This window comes from Homo sapiens, chromosome 21 (genome assembly GCF_000001405.40).
Source record: "Homo sapiens chromosome 21, GRCh38.p14 Primary Assembly".
NCBI lineage: Eukaryota > Metazoa > Chordata > Mammalia > Primates > Hominidae > Homo > Homo sapiens.
In genome coordinates this window covers 37,572,038-37,595,781 of record NC_000021.9, presented here as the reverse complement: position 1 = coordinate 37,595,781, position 23,744 = coordinate 37,572,038, and the positions used below count along the sequence as shown (strand labels likewise).

Genomic DNA, 23,744 nt, shown 5'->3' with positions numbered 1-23,744 from the left:
CATAGGCAGCCTCCCCACACTTCAAGGCTTCAAATCATCCTTTATTTTCTCATTATTTTACAGGTCAGGGATTGGGAGGACAGGCACAGAGGATGTGTCTCTGACCCAAGCACCATCAGCGGGTGCCTCAGCCTCCTTGTCTTGCTCTGTCTCCGCAGCCCCCAAACTCCACAAGATGTGAGCTCTTCCCAGTCGGGAAGTCTCCAGGTGCCCCTCCTTACAGGACGGCAGCTTCCAAGGGGCTAGAAGCCAAAGCACCTCAGTTAATGTTAATGTCTGTCAGTGAAAAGAGCCAAACTCTGCCCATAACACAGCCCCAGGAGACCCTGAGAACATGTGCCCAAGGTAGTCAGGGCACAGCCTAGTTTTACACACTTTAGGGAGACACTAGACATCAAGTTCATGTTGGATAAACATTGGTTTTGTCCAGAAAGGCGGGACAACTGGAAGCGGGGAGGGGACTTCCAGGTTATAGTTAGATTTAAATTTTTTCTGATTGGCAATCGGTTGAAGGAGTTAAGTTACTATCTAAAGACCTGGCATCAATAGAAAGGAGTGTCTGGGTTATGTTAAGGGGTTGTGGAAACCAAAGTTTTATTATGCAGCTGAAGCTACCAGGTAGCAGGCTTCAGAGAGAAGAGATTGTAAATGTTTCTCATTAGACTGAAAGAGCCTGTTCTATCAGTCATTCTGAAAGGGAGGAGGGGATAGTGAGGCATGTCCAGCCCCCGCCCCACATCGTGGCCTGAACCAGTCCCTCAGGTTAGCCTTCCAATACCCTTGCCAAGGGGAGGGGTACCTTCAGATGGGGAGGGCGGGGGGCGGGGTTAGAATTTTATTTTTGGTTTACCTATCCACACGAGGAACGGAGTGATTTTTCACCATATTCCGATGCTCCATGCAGTCGGATTCCAGGATTCCACCACGCAGAGGCTCCACCATCACAGGGTGGCAAGTTCACAGAAGACCATAGGCGTGGCAACAGCTTTGTAGTTAGCTTTGGAAAACCACCTGCCACATGAGGCCTCACTGCCATTTCCCTTCCACTTCTGCGGACGCTGGGCTGGGAAGGGGCCTGGTGAGAGGGGTTAACTCCCTCAGCCCAGTTTCCACACTGTCCCCTCCCTCTACAGCACCTGCCCAGGGCAACGCCCACCCGGCCCTCCTCTGCTTCCTTCTCCGAATTCACACATCACTTCCCCGCCAAAAAGTAGCAACAAGGAAGACAGAACCACATCATATTCACGGCATTCCAACGAGAGGGTCACAGCAGCTCCCTGATGAAAACACAACTGTCAGGATCGCTATTCACGTCATCCCTTGGTGTGCACCCATGCTGAAGCCACGAAGAGCCGCCCTATGAAACCCTCTGAGCCACAGCAACAATCTCACTGCTAATTAGCTCTGGCTAATGCACCCTAACAAGTCCTGGAAGTGAGAAGACTGCAGTGGGAAATGCAGGCGGACAGCTACTTAGCCGGCACTCAGACACAGGGTGACCGAGATAACTGGTGTCAAATGGAATCTGAACAAACCTTCTCCGGGGGTTTATCCGTACCTCGAAATGCTGAAGGGAGGCTGCCAGGGCCAAAGATCCAGGAGAAACAAATTAAGTGGAAACCCACGGCCCCACCCTCCCCCTCACCTCCATTGCCAGCAGCTGAAGGTAAACCAAGACGTGGGGCTGAGCCTTCACCCTTCATGGGCCACGCCAAATTAGACACTCATTCTGCAACTCGCGTGTCTGTGCACAGAGCAGTAAGCCTCTAAGTGGGAAATTCTTCCTCCAGGCATCGCAGCGCTGCAGAAGCCGTAAGGCACATAAACAGAGAAGCACCAGGGCCTGAAAGGAAGGCAGCGCTGGCTGTGATCACTCACTAGAGCCTGATCCCTTAGGGCTGCCAAGAACCCAGAAGTCTGTTCCATGTGTACAAAGCAGGCAGGATGCAATCCTGACAGAGCCCAAGGGGGTGCAGGAATTGATAACCAAGTCGAGAGGGGACAGACAGAAAGAACTCAGTATGAGCATTTTTGCAGCCCACCACCAATTTCACGCATTTACCTATTGTACTTTCTCTCTCTTTTCAAATTAAAAATAGTTTTAAACAAATGATTGCTTTAACGTTTAGAAAAACGTTTGCAGCCTAGGCACGGTGGCTTGCGCTTGTAATCCCAGCATATTAGATGGCTGAGGCAGGAGGATCATTTGAAGCCAGGAGTTCAAGACCAGCCTGGGCAACATGGCAAGACCCCATCTCTACAAAAATTTTTTTAAAAAGCCGGACATGGTGGCTGTCGTGGGTGCGACTGGCTGGGGCCAGCATCACAGGTGGTAGAAGATTTTACCAAGACAGTTGTAAGTAAAGAAAGGCCAATTTATTAGGTAAGGTACAGAGAAATGTTGCAAGGGTTTAATGGACAGCACAGCAGAGAAAGGGCTGTGTGCAGAGAGGCAGGGGCTGGAGGGAAGTTTTATAGGTTCACACTGGAGGGGGCTATGTGCAGAATGAGGTTGTGCTGCTGGCGCTGTGTGGCGCGAGGTATTTGGGAACAGGATGTTGTGCTAGTGGGTTGTCTGTGATTACCGGTCTCTCAGAACAATGGCTGTCCCCACAGGGGGCCCCTTTCTCATTGTTGCTTACTAATTTGGACTCCACAGTGGTGCATGCCTGTAGACTCAGCTACTCAAGAGGCTGAAGCGGGAGGATCAACTGAGTCCAAAGGATCACACCACTGCACTCCAGCCTGGGTAACAGTGAGAGATGCCATCTCTAAAAATAAAAATAAAAAACTTTACCCTCTCAATAACCACAACATTCAGACCGTGGCTTTGGTTTGATTGCAGGCTACTTGAGATATAGGAAAAAAAGATGCAGAAAATAAAATAGGGCTGAAAAAAGAATCGGGGAAAGCTAGAAAAAACTCCAGGGCTGCCCTGGGTGCTGGAGGAGGGGAGCAAACAAATGTCCTCCAGCCTGGTCAGTGTCAGCAGGCTTGTCCCCAAAGATTAGGGGTCATGAGGGGTCATCTGGGGCGGGAGCAGGGCTCACCAGGTCGGGACCAGGACTCTCAGGGCCTCCTGTCTCAGGCCTAAAGGAAGGAGCTTCCAGCCACTGTGGGTGACTACCTTGCTACCACATGCTGAGCCCAGTGTGAATGCCTGTAAGGGGTTGAATAGTATCCCCCAAATTTCACATCTACCCAGAACCTCAGGATGTGACCTTATTTTAAAATAGCGTCTTTGCAAATGTAATTAGTTGGGGGTTGAGAGGATGTCAGGCCTCTGAGCCCAAGCTAAGCCATCATATCCCCTGTGACCTGCACATACACATCCAGATGGCCGGTTCCTGCCTTAACTGATGACATTCCACCACAAAAGAAGTGAAAATGGCCTGTTCCTGCCTTAACTGATGACATTATCTTGTGAAATTCCTTCTCCTGGCTCATCCTGGCTCAAAAGCTCCCCTACTGAGCACCCTGTGACCCCCACTCCGGCCCGCCAGAGAACAACCCTCCTTTGCCTGTAATTTTCCTTTACCTACCCAAATCTTATGAAATGGCCCCACCCCTATCTCCCTTCGCTGACTCTCTTTTCGGACTCAGCCCACCCACACCCACGTGAAATAAACAGCCTTGTTGCTCACACAAAGCCGGTTTGGTGGTCTCTTCACAAGGACGCGAGTGAAATTTTGGTGCCGTGACTCGGAACGGGGGCCTCCCTTGGGAGATCAATCCCCTGTCCTCCTGCTCTTTGCTCCATGAGAAAGATCCACCTACGACCTCTGGTCCTCAGACTAACCAGCCCAAGGAACATCTCACCAATTTTAACTCCGGTAAGTGGCCTTGTTTTTACTCTCTTCTCCAACCTCTCTCACTGTCCCTCAACCTCTTTCTCCTTTCAATCTTGGCACCACACTTTAATCTCTCCCTTAATTTCAGTTCCTTTCCTTTTCTGGTAGAGACGAAGGAGACGCGTTTTATCCGTGGACCCAAAACTCCAGCGCCAGTCACGGACTCAAGAAGTCTTCCCTTGGTGTTTAATCACGCGGGGACACCTCCCTGATTATTCACCCACGTTTCAGAGGTGTTTTACCACGGGACGCCTGCCTTGGTCCTTCACCCTTAGCGGCAAGTACCGCCTTTCTGGGGGCAACAACCCCCCAACCCCTTCTCTCTGTGTCGCCACCCCTTCTCCGCTTTTCTGGGGGTCAAGAACCCCCCACCCCTTCTCTCCATGTCTCTACTCTCTCTTTTCTCTGGGCTTACCTCCTTCACTATGGGCAAGCTTCCACCCTCCATTCCCCCTTCTCCCTTAGCCTGTGTTCTTAAAAACCTAAAACCTCTTCAACTCACACCTGACCTAAAACCTAAATGCCTTATTTTCTTCTGCAATGCCACCTGACCCCAATACAAACTTGACAATGGTTCCAAATAGCCAGAAAACGGCACTTTCAATTTTTCCATTCTACAAGATGTAAATAATTCTTGTTGTAAAATAGGCAAACGGTCTGAGGTGCCTGACATCCAGGCATTCTTTTACACATCAGTCCCTCTCTAGTCTCTGTTCCCAATGCAAGTCGTCCCAAATCTTCCTTCTTTCCCTCCTGCCTGTCCCCTCAGTCCCAACCCCAAGCATCGCTGAGTCCTTCTAATCTTCCTTTTCTACAGACCCATCTGACCCCTCCCCTCCTCGCCAGGCTGAGCTAGGTCCCAATTCTTCCTCAGCCTCCGCTCTTCCACCTTATAATCCTTTTATCACCTCCCCTCCTCACACCAGTCTGGCTTACAGTTTCGTTCCGTGACTAGCCCTCCCCCACCAGCCCAGCAATTTCCTCTTAAAAAGGGTGGCTGGAGCTAAAGGCATAGTCAAGGTTAATGCTCCTTTTTCTTTATCCGACCTCTCCCAAATCAGTTAGCGTTTAGGCTCTTTCATCAAATATGAAAAACCCAGCCCAGTTCATGGCTCGTTCGGCAGCAACCCTGAGACGCTTTACAGCCCTAGACCCTGAAAGGTCAAAAGGCCGTCTTATTCTCAATATACATTTTATTACCCAATCCGCTCCCGACTTTAAATAAAGCTCCAAAAATTAAATTCCAGCCCTCAAACCCCACAACAGGACTTAATTAACCTCACCTTCAAGGTGTACAATAATAGAGTAGAAGCAGCCAAGTAGCAACATATTTCTGAGTTGCAATTCCTTGCCTCCACTGTGAGACAAACCCCAGCCACATCTCCAGGACACAAGAACTTCCAAACGCCTGAAGCGCAGCTGCCAGGGGTTCCTCCAGAACCTCCTCCCCCGGGAGCATGCTACAAGTGCCAGAAATCTGGCCACCAGGCCAAGGAATGCCTGCAGCCCAGGATTCCTCCTAAGCCGCATCCCATCTGTGCGGGACCCCACTGAAAATCGGACTGTTCAACTCACCTGACAGCCACTCCCAGAGCCCCTGGAACTCTGGCCCAAGGCTCTCTGACTGACTCCTTCCCAGATCTTCTCGGCTTAGCAGCTGAAGACTGACACTGCCCAATCGCCTCAGAAGCCCCCTAGACCATCACGGATGCCGAGCTTCGAGTAACTCTCACGGTGGAGGGAAAGTCCATCCCCTTCTTAGTCAATACGGAGACTACCCACTCCACATTACCTCCTTTTCAAAGGCCTGTTTCCCTTGCCTCCATAACTGTTGTGGGTATTGACGGCCAGGCTTCTAAACCTCTTAAAACTCCCCAACTCTGGCGCCAACTTAGACGATACTGTTTTAAGCACTTATTTTTAATTATCCCCACCTGCCCAGTTCCCTTATTAGGCCGAGACACTAACTAAATTATCTGCTTCCCTGACTATTCCTGGACTGTAGCCACATCTCATTGCCACCCTTCTTCCCAATCCAAAGCCTCCTTTGCGTCCTCCTCTTGTTTCCCCCGACCTTAACCCACAAGTATAGGATACCTCTACTCCCTCCTTGGCGACCGATCATGCACCCCTTACCATCTCATTAAAACCTAATCACCCTTACCCTGCTCAATGCCAACATCCCATCCCACAGCACGCTTTAAAAGGATTAAAGCCTGTTATCACTCACCTGTTACAGCATGGCCTTTTTTTTTTTTTTTTTTTTTTTTTTTTTGAGACGGAGTCTCGCTCTGTCGCCCAGGCTGGACTGCAGTGGCGGGATCTCGGCTCACTGCAAGCTCCGCCTCCCGGGTTCACGCCATTCTCCTGCCTCAGCCTCCCAAGTAGCTGGGACTACAGGCGCCCGCCACTACGCCCGGCTAATTTTTTGTATTTTTAGTAGAGACGGGGTTTCACCGTTTTAGCCGGGATGGTCTCGATCTCCTGACCTTGTGATCCGCCCGCCTCGGCCTCCCAACAGCATGGCCTTTTAAAGCCTATAAACTCTCCTTACAATTCCCCCATTTTACCTGTCCTAGAACCAGACAAGCCTTACAGGTTAGTTCAGGATCTGCGCCTTATTGACCAAGTTGTTTTGCCTATCCACCCCATGGTGCCAAACCCATATACTCTCCTATCCTCAATACCTCCCTCCACAACCCATTATTCTGTTCTGGATCTCAAACATGCTTTCATTACTATCCCTTTGCACCCTTCATCCTAGCCTTTCTTTGCTTTCACTTAGACTGACCCTAACACCCATCAGGTTCAGCAAATTACCTGGGCTGTACTGCCACAAGCCTTCACAGATAGCCCCCATTACTTCAGTCAAGCCCAAATTTCATCCTCATCTGTTACCTATCTCGGCATAATTCTCATAAAAACACACGTGCTCTCCCTGCTGATCATGTCCTACTGATCTCTCAAACCCCAGCACCTACAAAACAACAACTCCTTTCCTTCCTAGGCATGGTTAGTGTGGTCAGAATTCTTACACAAGAGCTGGGACCGCACCCTGTAGCCTTTCTGTCCAAACAACTTGACCTTACTATTTTGCCTAGCCCTCAAGTCTGCGTGCGGCGGCCGCCACTGCCCTAATACTTTTAGAGGCCCTTAAAATCACAAACTATGCTCAACTCACTCTCTACAGTTCTCATAACTTCCAAAATCTATTTTCTTCCTCACACCTGACACATATACTTTCTGCTCCCCGGCTCCTTCAGCTGTACTCACTCTTTGTTGAGTCTCCCACAATTACCATTGTTCCTAGCCCGGCCTTCAATCCAGCCTCCCACATTACTCCTGATACCACACCTGATCCCCATGACTGTATCTCTCTGATCCACCTGACATTCACCCCATTTCCCCATATTTCCTTCTTTCCTGTTCCTCACCCTGATCACACTTGGTTTATTGATGGCAGTTCCACTAGGCCTAATCGCCACTCACCAGCAAAGGCAGGCTATGCTATAGTATCTTCCACACCTATCATTGAGGCTATCGCTCTGCCCCCATCCACTACCTCTCAGCAAGCCGAACTCATTGCCTTAAGTCAAGTCCTCACTCTTGCAAAGGGACTACACGTCAATATTTATACTGACTCTAAATATGCCATCCATATCCTGCACCACCATACAAGAGGTTTCCTCACTACACAAGGATCCTCTATCATTAATCCCTCTTCAATAAAAACACTTCTCAAAGCCGCTTTACTTCCAAAGGAAGCTGGAGTCATTCACTGCAAGGGGCATCAAAAGGCATCAGATCCCATTGCTCTAGGCAATGCTTATGCTGATAAGGTGGCTAGACAAACAGCTAGCATTCCAACTTCTGTCCCTCATGGCTAGTTTTTCTCCTTCACATCAGTCACTCCCACCTACTCCCCCGCTGAAACTTCCACCTATCAATCTCTTCCCACACAAGGCAAATGGTTCTTAGACCAAGGAGATATTCTCCTTCCAGGCTGGACCTGGGCAGGACCAGCCCGGTCATCTACAGCTGAGGTGAGGCCTGGGCAGATTTCCCCTCACAGCCCCAGCAGGAACCAACCCCAGGGACACCTCAACCTTGGACTTCCGGCCTCTAGGAAGATCAGTAAGAGATTTCAGTTGTTCAAACCACCCGGCCTGTGGCAGTTTGTTCCAGCAGCCCCAGCCAACTCCTGACCTGAAATATGTTTATTTGTTTACATTTTCTTTGCTGCTTTTTAGAGTCTAAGCCCCACGTGGGCAGGCCTTTTTATATTTTAATCACTACCCTATCCCAAGTGCCTGGACGGTGTTGTTGGTGTAAAGCAGTTGCTTAATAAATATTTGTGGAATAAATGAATGAATGTGTTCATTGCTCACTCTGTGGCTGGCACCACACATAAGTGATGTATCGTCCATACCCAACCTGCAAGGCAGGCAAGATGATCCCTGTGGGAGGCTCCGAGACTCTCACAGCACACCTGTGCCCAGCCGGTTCAGGATTCAGGGCTGGGTGTGTGACTCCCTTCCCTACGTGGTGCCACTTTCACAGCCAAACAACTGGTTCTTGAGCAGAGGGAGAAGAGGGTAAGGCATGAGGCAGAAGGAGCTCTGTTACTGACACTGGGCTAGGACACAGCATGCCCTTGGGGACAGTCATCTTCAGAGTAAGGTGCTCAGGTGCTCAGGACTCTTAAGTCACACATTAGGGTAGGGTCAGAGTTGACTGCTTCATCTCGCTGGATGGTGCCTCTACTTCAGAGTTTTCACACCTGAAACGCTGAGTTTACCAACAGATGCTTTAGGTTATGTTAAACCCGTGGAGATTTAGAAAGAGACAAATACCACACGTTCTCACTTATCAATGGGAGCTAAAGGATGTGTACACATGGACAGAGACTGTGGATTACTGGACACTGGCGACTATGAAGGGTGGAGGGTGGGAGGGAGGTGGATGAGGAGAAATGATTTAATGGGCACAATGTACATTATTCTGATGACGGATACACTAACATCCCAGACTTCACCACTACTCAATATAATCATGTAACAAAATTGCACTTGTACCCCTTAAATTCACCCAAATAATAACAAATTAAAAATAAAAAATACGGCCAGGTGCGGTGACTCACGCCTCTAATCCCAGCACTTTGGGAGGCTGAGGCAGGAGGATCACGAGGTCAGGAGTTCGAGAACAGCCTGGCCAATATGGTGAAACCTCATCTCTACTAAAAATACAAAAATTAGCCGGGCGTGGTGGCACATGCCTGTAGTCCCAGCTACTCAGGAGGCTGAGGCAGGAGAATCACTTGAACCCAGGAGGCAGAGGTTGCAGTGAGCAGAGACCGTGCCAATGACTCCAGCCTCAAAAAAAAAAAAAAATTACAAATAAAAATAAAAAATAAAAGTCAGTGATGCAGGCAGTACTGATTTCAATGTATATTTATATAAATTAAGAGAGATCTTGTAAATAACTTATAAACTTTTTAAATGGATCATGCATTTAGTGTTGTATATGTAAAATCTCATCAATAGACCTAAGGTTATGCAAATTTTCTTCTAGAAATTTTATAGCTTTGCATTTTATTTAAGAGAGATCTTGTAAAAAGTGTACACGGAACATTCACTATAGACCATATCCAGTGTCAGAAACAGTTTCAATAAATTTTAAAGGATTTATATCATACCAAGTATGTACCCTAACTACAATGAAGTTAAAATACAAGCCACTAAAAGAGATATCTAGAAAATCCACAAATGTTTGGAAATTAAGTAGTACATTTCTAAGTAATTCATCGGTCAAAGAAGAGATCACAAAGGAAATTAGAAATATTTCAATGCGAGTGAATGAAAATATAATATCAAAATATGTGGGATGCTGCCATGTAGTCAGAAATGTATTCTTTATTGAAAAACAGGAAAAGTCTAACATCAGTTATCTAAGTATCAACCTAAAGAAATTAGAAGAAAAAAGAGGAGTAATATAATATCAAAATCAAAAGAATGAAGGAAACAGTAAAGAGCTGAAATCAGTGAAATTGGAAGTGGACAAATAATAGGAAAACTTACAGGAAATCAAAAGCTGGTTGATTGATAAACTTCTAAATAGACTGATTAAGAAAAAAAAAAACTGAAGAGACAACACACAGATTATCAATATCAGGAATAAAGAGGGCTCATTACTATAGTACCTACAAATAGTAAAAAATTAATAAAGTTATATTATAAACAACTTTATGCCAATACATGTGACAATTTAGATGAAATGAACAAATTCCTTGTGAGACACAAATTATAAACCTAGGAGAAATCGCATCTACATATATATATATAGTGAGAAATTGAATTTTGTAATTTTAAAATTTTCTCACAAAGAAATTACTCATCCCAGATGGTTCCACCAGTAAAGTCTATCAAATAGAAATAAAAATACCAATCTCTTTCAGAAATATAGTAGGAGGAAACTCTTCCCTACTCATTTTATGGCAAGAGAAGATAAGAGAAGAAAATGATAGTCCAATATCCCTCATGCAGTTAGGTCCAAACATCTTTTTTAAAATACTACCAATAATAACAAGGGAAATATAAAAAATACATCATGACCAATGGAGTTGATTCCAGAAATACAAGGTTGCTTTCCCCCTTACACTGGTAAGAAGGGAAAATTGTATTTGTCCTGACTGCTTCTGTTCAACTTTGAAATGGAGACTTCAGGTGATCCTTCAGGAAGTTCTGAAGCTGGGATGGTCCTTCAGAGACGTCCAGCATTAACCTGTGGGGCTGGGCTGTTTTATCCCCACATCTCCTAGTCATTAAATCAGGACTGTCACTGGGCTAAGAGGATAGCATTTGGCCAGGCAGCTCCCAGCAGCAGCTAACATCCTGACAGGTCGAAAATGGAAGGGTCTTCAGCACTCGCAGCATCATTACAGGCAGACTTTACAAACGCTGGACGCGTGGGCCCTATGACCTCGCACTTTCGCTCTGTGCGCACCAAAAGGCATGTACCAGAATGTTCACAGCAGCTTTATTCATAATTGTTCAAACATGGAAATTACCCAGACACTTGTTGTTGTTGTTGTTGCTGCTGCTGTTGTTTGTTGTTGAGACAGAGTCTCGCTGCGATGCCCAGACTGGAATGTGATGGCACCATCTCGGCTCACTGCAACCTCCGATTCCTGGGTTCAAGCGATTCTCCTGCCTCAGCCTCCCAAAGTGCTGGGAGTACAGGCATGTGCCACTATGCCCAGCTAATTTTTGTATTTTTAGTAGAGATGGGGTTTCACCATATTGGCCAGGCTGGTCTCGAACTTCTGACCTCTAGTGATCTGCCTGCCTTGGCCTTCCAAAGTGCTGGGATTACAGGCATAAGCCACCACGTCCATCCTACCCAAACATTTTTAACACTCAAATGGATTCATATGAAAGTAGGTAGATACATACATTGAAATACTAAATAGAAATGGGAAATAAACAATGACTGCTGCACGCAACATTATAAGCGAATCTTGCAACTTTATAATCAAGTGAAAAAAAACAAAAACCAAAGAGTATATGGTGTGCGACTTCATCATATAAAGTTCAAAACAACACAAAGTTACTCAGAAATCTGCACGGTGCTTATCTTGGGAGTGTGGCAGGTGCTAGAATGGTCAGGAAGTAGGGCAAGTTGTATTCCAATTCTTGGATCTGGATGGTTACATGGGTGTAACAATTCATTGAGCTCTACATTTATGATTTGTGCATTTTTATGAATGTATATAACTCTATTTTAAACTTTTTACTTATAAAAAAGATAAGATACAGATGGGAGAAGATATTTGCAAAGCATATAACCGAAAATGGGGATTCCTATTAGGAATATATAAGGCAACCCTGAGAATCAGTAAGGAAAAAAGTCCAACTAAAAAATAAAAGGGGCCAGGCACAGTGGCTCATGCCTGGCACTTTGGGAGGCCCACAGTGGGAGGATCACTTGAGCTCAGGAATTCGGGACCAGCCTGGGCAACATGGCAAAACTCTGTCTCTACAAAAAACACAAAAATTAGCCAGCCATGGTGGCGTGCACCTGTAGTCCCAGCTACTCAGGAGGCTGAGGAGGCAGGATTGCTTGAACCTGGGAGACAAAGTTTACAGTGAGCTGTGATCCCGCCACTGCACTCCAGCCTGAATGACAGAACGAGACCCTGTCTGAAAACTAAAAATAAAAGGCAAAAGATATCAACAGACCATTCAGAAGAGAAAAAAAATACAAGGCCAAGAAACATAAAAAGATGTTCAATATAGCTACTAAATAAGAAACTATGAATCAAAACAGTATGAAATGTCATTTCATAACCATCAAATGGAAAATATTAAGAAGACTAACAATCTCAACATAAGTGCAAATATAGAGCATGAGGTCTTCTTACCTCTGGAGATTTGAAGGGTAATTTGGTACAATACCTCTGGAAAGAAAACATTTGCTCTTTGATCCAGCAGTTCCACATGTAAAAAAATAATAGAGAAACTTTTGCAGAAGTTCCATAGGGAAAATGGCACAAGAAAGTTCATTGCATTATTCATAATAGAAAAAATACATACAGCATGTCATCAATAAAATAAATTTTGAAAACATGTAAAAAATGGATTCACACATGGGATGTTAGTGGAATTTTTGAATGCCATTAAAGGTACACACAAAATTGGAGCTGATGGTTACCACTGGGTGAAAGACAGGGAAGAGAAAGGGTCGTGGAAGGGTATTTTAGGAGATTTGACGGCATATGTATTGTTTTGCTTCTTAATAAAACAGAAAGCAAGTGTGACAAAATGTTAGCACTCAAGAGAGTTGGGTGGGGAATGTGTTGTGTGTTATAAACTTTTCTGTGTATTTGAAATATTTTATATTTTAGGGAAACCATTCAAAGGTATGCCTCTTAATCTCAGGACTTTCTCTCTCTCTCCAGGAGAGTGACTCTCACCAGCCCCACCCTCATTGCCAGAGGACGTTGCACGCTGCACCTGTCATGCCTCACGCTTGTGCTGTACGTGCCCAGGCCTCTGTAAATGGAGAGAATGGGGTGAGCTGACACAGTTCTTCAGGCTCTGCCCAGCAGAAGATATTATGAAAGGTCTTCTCATCTCTTCTTGAAATGGGCTACCTCCCACTGACCACTAGGTGGGACATCAGCTTGCCAGTTGCCCAATAAATGCAATGTCTATAGAATTCTTGAAACAGCCTCTGTTTCTGAGAGGGGCCCATGCTCAGAAGACTGTCCATGGACCGGCCTAGTGGTGCACTTCCTGAGTCTGGGAGCAGCACCTCTTTGAACTCCTGCTGAGGACACTGATTTGGGAGTGCAGTGCACATAAATGTAATTTACATTTATGCTTCTAATTTACATAAATGTAAACAGGGATTCAGTGAACTGGAATTTTCTTTGGTTCATAACTGGTTTTTTTCTGGCTAACTATGGGTTGGGAGAAGGAAGAGAAGAAATGGAAAATAGCATTTATTTGGGGTCTGTTATGGGCCAGGAAGCAAATTACAGCTTTATCTCATATAACGCTCATGTCTATCCGTTGAGAGGGCATCATTTCCCAGTTACAAATGAGGAAGCAGTGGCTCAAACATGTAAGATGCCTCGCCCAACGTCCAGTGAGCAAGCAGCAGACAAAAGGTTTGAACCATCTCTTTCCGCCAACAAAGTCTGGTTTCCACCGCGTGCCCTCTCCAGAAAACCTTTGGAGTAAAACTCAGAGAGACACAGAGAGAGAGAGCAAGAAAATATTTGGTATAATTTAAACACTTTCAGGTACAGCCATAATAGAAACAGATAAGAAAACAGATAAAAGACCAATCACTTCCTGGTCTTTGTCGTGCCTGTGCCAAAATAACAGAAAAAATAAAATAAAAATCACTCTACCTTATTCTTTCTTGTTCTTTCCACAAAATGTGTTTTTTGTTTTTGTTTTTTGTTTTTTTTTGAGACGGAGTCTCGGAGTCTCGCTCTGTCACCCAGGCTGGAGTGCAGTGGCACGATCTCAGCTCACTGCAAGCTCCACCTCCCGGGTTCACGCCATTCTCCTGCCTCAGCCTCCCTAGTAGCTGGGACTACAGGTGCCCGCCACCATGCCCAGCTAATTTTTGTATTTTTAGTAGAGACTGGGTTTCACCATGTTAGCCAGGATGGCCTTGATCTCTTGACCTTGTGATCTGCCCACCTCAGCCTCCCAATGTGCTGGGATTACAGGCATGAGCCACTGCACCCGGCCCAGACATTTATTTTCTCACAGTTCTGGAGGCTGGAAGTCCAAGATCAAGGTGTCTGTAGTGGGGGTTTCATTTCATTTCAGTCTGAAGCCCTTCTCCTTGGCTTGCAGATGGCGTCTTCTCCTGAGTCTACACAGGGTCTTCCTTTTGTGTCTGTTTGTGTCCTAACCTCCTCTCCTTACAAAGATGCCAGTCAGTTTAAATTAGAACCCATTCCTGTGACCTCATTTAACCTCAGTCACCTCCTTAAAAGTCCTATCTCCAAATCCAGTCACATTCTGAGGTACTGGGGGTTAGGACTTCAACAGATGACTTTTGGGGGACACAGTTCAGCCCTTGACAGAGAAAATTCAAGGTGTCAAGGAACCAGATCAGGCTTTTGGGGGGTCTTTGCAAACAGCCATAGATGGTGTGTATGACCTTGTCTAGCCATCAAACTGAGAGAGAACCATCCTTTCCAGAAATATCTCAGTTGACTGGCACCAGAGGTGGATAATTAGTAAACTATTTTTTTCTTTTATAGTCTTTTGAACATAATTATGACAAGGATTCTGGGGAGATTATAGGGTTTAATAATTTAATCTCCTCAAATTTCCTTATAAAAACAGACTGAATAACTAGCATATCAAAATCAAAGACTTTGTACTTCTACAACAAAATCAATGACCAGGAATCCCAAAGAATCTCACAGTAAGAGTGTGTGGCACAAACCACCAACAGCTGCAGGACCCACGTGGTATGAGGATCTGTGTAAAGGGAAACAACTGGCAAGTTGGGGAAGTCAACTGGGATTCCAACAGTCCAGAGGACAGGAAAAAACAACACTGCTGACCTGTGTTCACTGAAAGCACAGAGCTCCAATCCGAGAGTGGCAGGTTGGGAGATGACTCTACCGGGTTCAGTTCCTGAGTGGGTAAAGGAGACCACAATACTATTCTGACCACAGTGAAGCAGTCTATAAGTCTTCAAAGCTAGCAAACAAAATGCCCAGATAAGAGAAATGACTTAGAAGAAAATGCAGAATGGGGATCAGAATGTCAGATCTCAGAAAACACAGGCAGTATTTTTGAAATCATTTTGGAAAAACAACAGAAGAGGGAATGTAGACCCATGAAGTTTGAAAACCTGTCTTGACCTATGCCTCATCCTATGAACAAAGAAAAACTTGTTTCACTTTAAAAAAAGCAATAAAATGGATGATAGCCAAATCTAATATAAAGTTATGATAAGAGAAAGCAGAATAATAACATATTAATAACAACAATAATATTGGCCCTACAGACAATGAAAATACAACAGAGAGGTACACATTCAATGAAGATGAAAATGTAACCTAATATTTGAAATGAGGTAAAAAGAACTAGGAAAATGATAGGTGTCATTAAAGTATCTTAAAGTATCATTTAAATCATAATTAGAAACATTTAGAAATATAAGATTTGAAAGACAGATGAAGATGACAGAACACAAAACAGAATTAGAAGTATAAAGGAAATTTTTCAGAAATAAAAACTAAATTAGAAGGGACATCAGAGCCAATAAACAAAACAAATAATGCCTTAAAAGAAATGTAAAATGCAAAAATGAAAAAAAAGGAGATTTTACAAAATTAAAAAGATATTAAGTGTTTCAACTTCTGGTTAGGATGTAAAAAATCACAAAAGACCACCACTCCAGCAGAGCAAGGATAAAGCACTGGTAAGCTATTAAATTGTCTTTTTCTTTAAAACTATTTAAAACCTATAGATTCGAAATCCAAATAAACTAAATTCCAGAGATGGATGAGCCCATGTCAGGTGAGAAAACTGGTCCCTTCCATTCCTGTGGTAAGTTGTCAAGCATGGGGTTGTAGATGGACAGAAAATCAAGTCTGCTACAGGCAAATAAAATTTGGGGGAATAAGGAGAAACTAACTGGAAATTTTACAGCTAGTGTTAGACTTGAACCTGGAGGAATCCCAAATACAGCATTGGACATCTCTGTCCGTCTTCCAACTCTCTCTCATAGAAATTTATTGAATAAATGGTGTCCAAGAAGTCAGGAGATGACACAGAAAAGCAGAGAGAAATGTTGTGGTGTCATGGTGCTTAGATTTCATAGCCTTCCTGGAGAGAGGGTGATCTCACACTCAAGATATTTGAAACCAGAGGTGAACTAAATCAACTGGAGTGGCAACCTCAACTCTAATTCAGCTCAACTAATTATTAGATTGAAGAGATCAGATCCTAATCCAAGATACCTGACACACAAAAGGGCAAGCACTTCCTAGAAAAATTAGTACCTTCTTTCAGTCTCCACTGCTATGGTATACATAAACTGCAGCATTCAATAAAAAAACTACAAGCCAGCTGGGCATGGTGGCTCACGCCTGTAATCTCAGCACTTTGGAAGGCCAAGGCAGGGGGATCACAAGGTCAAGAGATCAAGACCATCCTGGCCATCACGGTGAAACCCTGTCTCCACTAAAAACACAAAAATTAGCTGGGCATTGTGGGCTGTGCCTATAGTCCCAGCTACTCGGGAGGCTGAGGCAGGAGAATCACTTGAACCTGGCAGGCAGAGGTTGCAGTGAGCTGAGATTGCACCACTTTACTCCAGCCTGGTGACAGTGAGACTCCCTCAAAAAAAAAAAAAACAAAAACTACAAGCCATGCATATAAACTGGGAAGTATGACCCATAATCAAAAGAAAAAGCAGTCAGTAGAAACAGGCCCACAGATGACCCAGAGTTGGCATTAGCAACTAAAGATTTTAAACTAATTAATACATATGGTGACATTTTTAGAGGGAAATATGGGCAAAATGGGTGAAAATATAAAGAATTTTAGCAAAGAAATCAAAACCCCAAAAAAGAACCAAATGGAAATTGTAGAACTAAAAAACACAATACCAACGTAGAGAATTCAGTGGGCGGGCTTAATAGCAGAATGAACAAAATAAAGCTTTGGTAAACTTGAAATTCTCAGTAGAAATTCTCTAAATTGAAGCATAGAAAGAAAAAAGTATTTTTTAAAAAGCAGAGGGTGAGAGAAATGTAAGGTAATACCAAATGGTCTAATACACATGTAATTGAAGTCCCAGAGAAGAAGAGAGACAAAATAGGTCAGAATAAATATTTGCAGTGATGCTAGCTGAAATTTTTTCCCAAAACTGATGAATGACATCAATACACAGATTCAAGAATTAGACCACTGTCTCCACCTACTTCAGTTTCCCTCTATCACACTTCCCCTCATGACTGGTGGAACTGGAGTGGCTGCCGTGATTTTTGTGTTCTGGCTCAGGGGTGGGATTAAGTTTAGTTTGGGTTTAACAGGATAAATGTATGTGCTTCACAATTACTTCCACATGAACTTATCACCAGCTAGTCTAGTGTAGAAATGACCTCTAGGAATACTCTTCCTACACACTCTTCCAATTCACCCAGCTTGGTGACACAAATATCACAATATATGGGCATTGAACATCTCATTTCTTTGACTCATAGGAAAAGTATCTGCCTACACAGGACCTAAAGTTTTAACTACCCTGATATTCTGCAATAGTTATATGTGGCAGGGGGGGCAGTTCAGGTTCATTGATGGAGTATTTTAAGCACACATATCAACTGGATTTTTCTTTGATGGGTCTAATTACAGAGATGTCCTTATAAACCTCTCCAACCTTTGAAACATGGTTATAATAGTATTATGAGGATTCTAGTATATGTTATTACAGATTCAAGAGAGGGCCAGGTGTGGTGACGGGTGCCTATGATCTCAACATTTTTGGGGGCCAAGGTAGAAGACCACTTGAAGCCAAGAGTTCAAGACCAGCCTGGGCAACATAACAGCACCTATCTCTACCAAAAAAAAATATATATATAGCCAGGTAGAGTGGTACATGCCTGTGGTCTCACCTGCTCAGGAGGCTGAGGAAAGGCAATCACTTGAGCCCAAGATTTCAAAGCTGCAGTAAAGTATGATTGCACCACTGCACTCCAGCCTGCATGACAGAGGGAGAGAGAAACCCAAACACAACAGGAATGCCAAAAAAAATTTACTCAAAATGTTGACGAAGCTTGAATATGTTAATTTAACTGTGATTTGAAAAGATGTTTTGGAATGTTTCGATAAAACATGGGAGAAATTACAGACTCTTTATGTAGACATGCATAAAAAGTAACTTTTTGACAATTTAAAATTTGTTAAAGGGTTAAAAGAAAAAAATAGAATATTTTAAAAGCTATAATGATGAATAATGAAACAACAGAAATTATTTCTATATTAAAAAAGGAACTTCAATAACAAAAAAGTTTACACCAAAAGCAGTAAATCATTAATAGGAAGATAAATTTCTAATAGAAATAATAAATAGTTTCTTGAATGATTTGATATCCAATTAATAATAAGAAGTGGGCTAGGTGCAGTGGCTCACTCCCATAATCCCAGCACTTTAGGAGGCCAAGGCAGGAGGATTGCTGAGCCCAGGAGTTTGAGACCAGCCTGGGCAACATAGTGAGACCCCTGTCTCTACAAAAAAAATCAAAAAAGTAGCTGGGTGTGGTGGTGCGCACCTGTAGTCCCAGCTACATGGGAGGCTGAGGTGGGAGGATTGCTTGAGCCTGGGTAGTTGAAGCCACAGTGAGCCATGTTCATACCACTGTACTGCAGCCTGGGCAACAGCACAAGACCCTGTCTGAAAAAAAAAAAAAAAAAAGTGAATCATAGGAACACAGTGAAATAAGATTCCAATTTTTTGCTTTTGTGGCACTGAATACTGACACTGATAATGAAAAACTCATAATATAGGCAATCTTGACCATCTGGATAATGAGGAAATGTTGGTTCAAAGACTACTTAAGCATAGTCAAGAAAACATGAAATGCCTTGAACACTTAAAGCCCATGTGTGAAAGAAACTTGATAGAGGTCTTCCCAATTTTAACAACAATTCTAAAACTTTGCATGACATCATTACCAATAATGAGCTGTGAGGCTAAAATAAATAAATAAATAATGTCTCACCTGTTGATAATAAATAAATATTGATTCCAGATGCCAGGGGAAAGACCAGATTACCAATCCATTCTCTTTTTTAGAAAATTTTAAAAATTTCATCAAATGAAGAGGAGAGCAAAGAATAGGTATCCCCCACCCCCCAAAAAAAATATAGTTAGTTAATATAAATAAAATACTAGGTTACTTTTCTGGATCCTTTTATGTGTGTGTTATTAAATTTATAATTGATGGTGATTGGTGTCTCTTCTAAATAGATAGTCACTTTTATACCTAACTTCATATTCATAATTTCCTATTATTAAAGTGGGCCCCCAGAATCATATGTTTTGGACCCCACAAACCTAAATACACCTGCATACAAAGTCCTGGCCATGTTTCAATGACATCAGTCACAGTTCCTGGTGATAGTGAGGTGGAGGTGGTGTGAAGACAGGCCCTCAAAGGTCTTCAAATAAATTAACAATGTCTCTTAATTTTTATTAGCTTTTTTTTATTCTTATGCTTTGCCTTTTTTCCCTAAAAGTGTGGTTCAAAGGAAAGAATTTTTCAATTTTCTCAAGTTTTTCGATCTGGTTTCACTGTTACTCATGAAAGCCAGAGGGCAGGGCTTTGGACAAAATGGTGTCCAATAATCAGAAAAAAATGTAAATACAAATCTAGGACCACAGGATTAAAACTAACGGGAATGGTATAAAATAATAGAGAAAATGTGAGTTGTGCTGTGTAGACGGGGATCAAAGGGTAACAGAGGGGGCGGGGAGGAGATGTCATGAGGCGGGGACAGCTGGGGACACCCAGCCCCTGGCAGAACCGCAGAGCTGCCACGCCTCCATGCAGTCACTCCTGGATTTATTTTTAATAGTTTGCATGAATGAAGGAAACAGCAAAACCATCTGTTTTGACAGCTGGGCCCATGCACCAGAAGACTTCTTGCGGAGATAAGGAAACCTGGCCTGATCCTAGGAGACCAGAGGACACCCGTGTCAGCCGTGGTGACAACGAGGCTCTACAGAGGGCGGACTCTGTGCCTTACACTTTGCTAGGGGCTTGATCATATTTCGTCAAATGTAATCCTTCCAGAAACCTCAGAGGTAGGCACCACTGTTATCCTCACACAAGGAAAGAAAGGCCCTGAGAGATGCGGGTGGGAAATGCAAGAGCTGGCGACAAACTCCCACCCTGTGTTCTTTCTTCCCAGTGAAAGCACTGGGTGAAGCCTGGGGTGGCATCTACAGACATCTTCCATGTTCTTCTGGATGGACCCCACATTTCCTCAGGGGCTGATGAAAGCAGCTACGTGACCAAGACACCAAAAGGAGGTGGCCTGGAGAGTGGAAAGGTAATGCCACCGGAGTGAGAAGACAAGGAGTCTAGGCTCCGATGGGCTTCTGGCCAGCTTGGGCCTAATTTTCACCCCCTAAATTTCTCTTTCCCTGTGAGCAAAACAAGAATGACAATAGGCTGCATTGATGCGGCCCAAATAATGAGCTGGGACTGCTCTCAGTGCTTTCCAGACACTCTCTTTCTCTTCACCCCCAGAACCTTGTCACTATCCCTACTGCAGATGGAGACACTGAGTGGAGAGTTTCAGTCACTTGCCCCTGGTCAGAATTTGAGCCCAGGGAGGCCAGCTCCAGTCTGCGCTCCTAGCCACTGAGCACTGATCTGCCTTAGGCATCTGCAGGGGTCCTGCTGGGCCACCGAGGACCCTTAGCGCTCTGGTTCTCCAAGTGGGGTCCTTGAGCCAGCAGCACCCGGGAACTTGTTAGAAATGCAAATTCCCAGGCCTCATCACAGGCAACTAGATCAGGCACTTCGAGCGCCTGGGGATGTGACCCAGCCATCTGTAACGAGTCCTCCAGAGAAATCTGAAGCTTGCTAAAGTTTGAGAACCACTGTTCCAAATGTTCTCTAAGGTTCTTTGCAGAGCTGAGCTAAGAAGGAGGCAGGGCCAGAAATGCAGGATATGACACAGGTGAGGCAAGGGGGACTCAGGGCCATGGGGACGTGTTTCTTAGTAGACAGGCAGGTGTCTGTCCTGATGTGGCCATTCTTCTCCCAGGAACGAGCCCAAGGGCATGCTCTAGACATGCAGGGTCTGTGAGGCCAGCCAGAGGCAGAACTGACCAGAACACAGGAACCACGGGTTTGAGGTGTAAGCAATGGGGGAAACACAGCAGATGTCACCCCTCCCGCAGCCTGGCCTTGCCAGGGCTGCTTGCATGGCCCTTGACTCTTTCTACCCCAAGATCCCAGCTTCGGTTACATGAAAGAAAGGAACAGCCTTCCCAAGTGGGGGAAGTCCCACCAAGACCACTCAGAAGCAGAAAGTCACAGAGGTTCACCCGCCAGTCAGAAGGGCCCTATGGAAAGACAGCACCCAAAACACGTGCTCCCTGTGAGAAATGCACTCTACAGGGCCCATCCTGAAAGAAAAAAAATTTTTTTAAATTTTTTGTAGAGATGGGGTCTCACTGTGTTGCCCAGGCTGCTCTTGAACTCCTGGGCCCAAGCAATCCTCCCGCCTCGGCCTCCCAAAGTGCTGGGATTATAGGCATGAGCCAGGGCACCTGGCCAGAAAATGAATTTTTTTTAAAAAACAGAGAGAAAGGAGCCAGGCTGCCCAGAGAAGGGGTATCCTGAGAAAGAGCCTAACCCCTCGGGCTTCCTGGGTAGGGAGGGGGACCCAGAGCTGTGGAGAGTTAATGAAAATTCCCCCTGAGAAGAGAATTTTGATGAGAGGAGACAGATGGGGGTTTCCACTGGATGCATCCTTCCCACTCCCCCTCCTGCGGAGCATTCTGACAAACAGCGTGGCCAAACAGCCTCCCCAGCAGCAACCAGTTGGCCATCCTAGAGAAGCTGGGACCAGATCAGTAACTCATCCCCTTCCATGAGTTTCCTTCCTTCCCTCCTCAATCCCTTGAGCTCTCGCTCTGGCCTCTCTGGGATTTTCACGTACACCCCAGTGAAGTGTTAGCTCCCTACATCTGTTCTTCAACTTATTTATTTATTTATTTATTTAATTTATTTTTGAGACAGAGTCGACTCACTCTGTCACCAGGCTGGAGTGCAGTGACACGATCTTGGCTCACTGCAACCTCTGCCTCCTGGGTTCAAGCGATTCTCCTGCCTCAGCCTCCTGAGTAGCTGGGACTACAGGCACATGACACCATGCCCAGCTAATTTTTGTATTTTTAGTAGAGACATCTCTACTAAAGACCCTACTACATGGGGTTTCATCATGTTGGCCAGGATGGTCTCGATCTTTTGACCTCATGATCCGCCCACCTCGGCCTCCCAAAGTGCTGGGACTAGAGACATGAGCCACTGCACCCAGCCTGTTCTTCAATTTTTAAAAGGTGCATCAAGAAACTGGAAAGGTTAGACATAAAGTGTGTTAAGAGAAATACTTCAGCTGAATTAAGTTTAAAGGAGTTTAATTGAGCAATGAATGATCTACGAATCTGGCAGCCCCCAGAATCACAGCAGATTCAGAAAGACTCCCAGGGTGCCTCGTAGTCAGAGCACATTTATAAACAAAAAGAGTAAAGCGATGTACAGAAATCAGAGGCGAGGTACAGAAACAGCTGGATTGGTTATGGCTCGGTGTTGGCCTTATTTGAACATAGTGTGAACACTCAGCAGTGTTTGAGTGGTTGAAGTACGGCTGCTGGGATTGGCCAAGATTCAGCTATTGTTACAGGTGTGCATACTCTGAAATCAGGGTCTCAATCTTGTCTACCTATGAAGTTAGTTTGCAGTTCATCCACAAGGACTAAAATATAGAAGTACGGAGTCCTTCTCAAGCCATATTTAGTTTGCTTTAACAAGGGTATAACATTTGAATAAAAGTTCTGTCAAAACTTCACTCAGCCATGGAAAGTGTGATAATTATAGAATCAGACAGCAGTTTCTTCCTGTCCTAGAATGCCTGGATGTGAAGAAGGGCTTGGGAATTAAGTCCAGTGTTCTAGAAATGCAATAGTTACCACAGAGGGGCAAAGACCAAGAGAGGTCTGAAAGCGTGCAGGTGAGTTGAATTAAGATGGGATTTGGCAGGGCGTGGTGGCTAACGCCTGTAATCCCATCACTTTAGGAGGCCGAGGCAGGCGGATCACAAGGTCAGGAGTTCGAGACCAGCCTGACCAATATGGTGAAACCTCGTCTCTACTAAAAATACAAAAAAAAAAAAAAAAAAATTAGCTGGGCCTGGTGGTGGTGCCTGTAATCCCAGCTACTCGGGAGGCTGAAGCAGGAGAATTGCTTGAACCCAGGGGGCGGAGGTTGCAATGAGCCGAGATACCGCCATTGCACTCCAGCCTGGGCAACAGAGCAAGACTCTGTCTCAAAAAAAAAAAAAAAAAAAAGACGGGATCTAGTGAACAGTGAGCAAGGAGTTTTGCAAATCTGGATGTAAGCAAAATAAATGCAAGTTTCAAGGGAATGGTGAAATTGGCTGTGGCTGAAAATGATGGAAAATTGTCTAAATCAACTTTTCAGAACTGTGGAAATTAACTAAAGGCTTGCAACAATTCCTGGAGATTTATTCAAGAAAAATGACTGAATCTCAGACAGAACTGTGAGCTGTGCAGCATTTTAACTTGCCCTGTTGCCATCTCCTTCTTCCC

General features: G+C 44.6%; 1 long non-coding RNA gene across 1 annotated transcript in view, besides 3 other annotated features; it reads right to left on the bottom strand.

Annotated features, from left to right (window-relative positions):
• KCNJ6-AS1 (KCNJ6 antisense RNA 1) overlaps positions 1-23,744 on the bottom strand; it is a 222,067-nt gene that overhangs the window by 144,921 nt on the left and 53,402 nt on the right. The gene's annotated exons all lie outside the window — the stretch shown is intronic.
• Positions 1,798-2,637: an enhancer, noted in NCBI's record as "OCT4-NANOG-H3K27ac-H3K4me1 hESC enhancer chr21:38965447-38966286 (GRCh37/hg19 assembly coordinates)". NCBI's record gives its function as "activates a minimal SCP1, AML or CMV promoter by ChIP-STARR-seq in naive and primed H9 embryonic stem cells {active_cell/tissue: H9 hESC(naive and primed)}" and the evidence as "EXISTENCE:reporter gene assay evidence [ECO:0000049][PMID:30033119]".
• Positions 2,638-3,475: an enhancer, noted in NCBI's record as "OCT4-NANOG-H3K27ac hESC enhancer chr21:38964609-38965446 (GRCh37/hg19 assembly coordinates)". NCBI's record gives its function as "activates a minimal SCP1, AML or CMV promoter by ChIP-STARR-seq in naive and primed H9 embryonic stem cells {active_cell/tissue: H9 hESC(naive and primed)}" and the evidence as "EXISTENCE:reporter gene assay evidence [ECO:0000049][PMID:30033119]".
• Positions 7,286-8,073: an enhancer, noted in NCBI's record as "NANOG-H3K27ac hESC enhancer chr21:38960011-38960798 (GRCh37/hg19 assembly coordinates)". NCBI's record gives its function as "activates a minimal SCP1, AML or CMV promoter by ChIP-STARR-seq in primed H9 embryonic stem cells {active_cell/tissue: H9 hESC(primed)}" and the evidence as "EXISTENCE:reporter gene assay evidence [ECO:0000049][PMID:30033119]".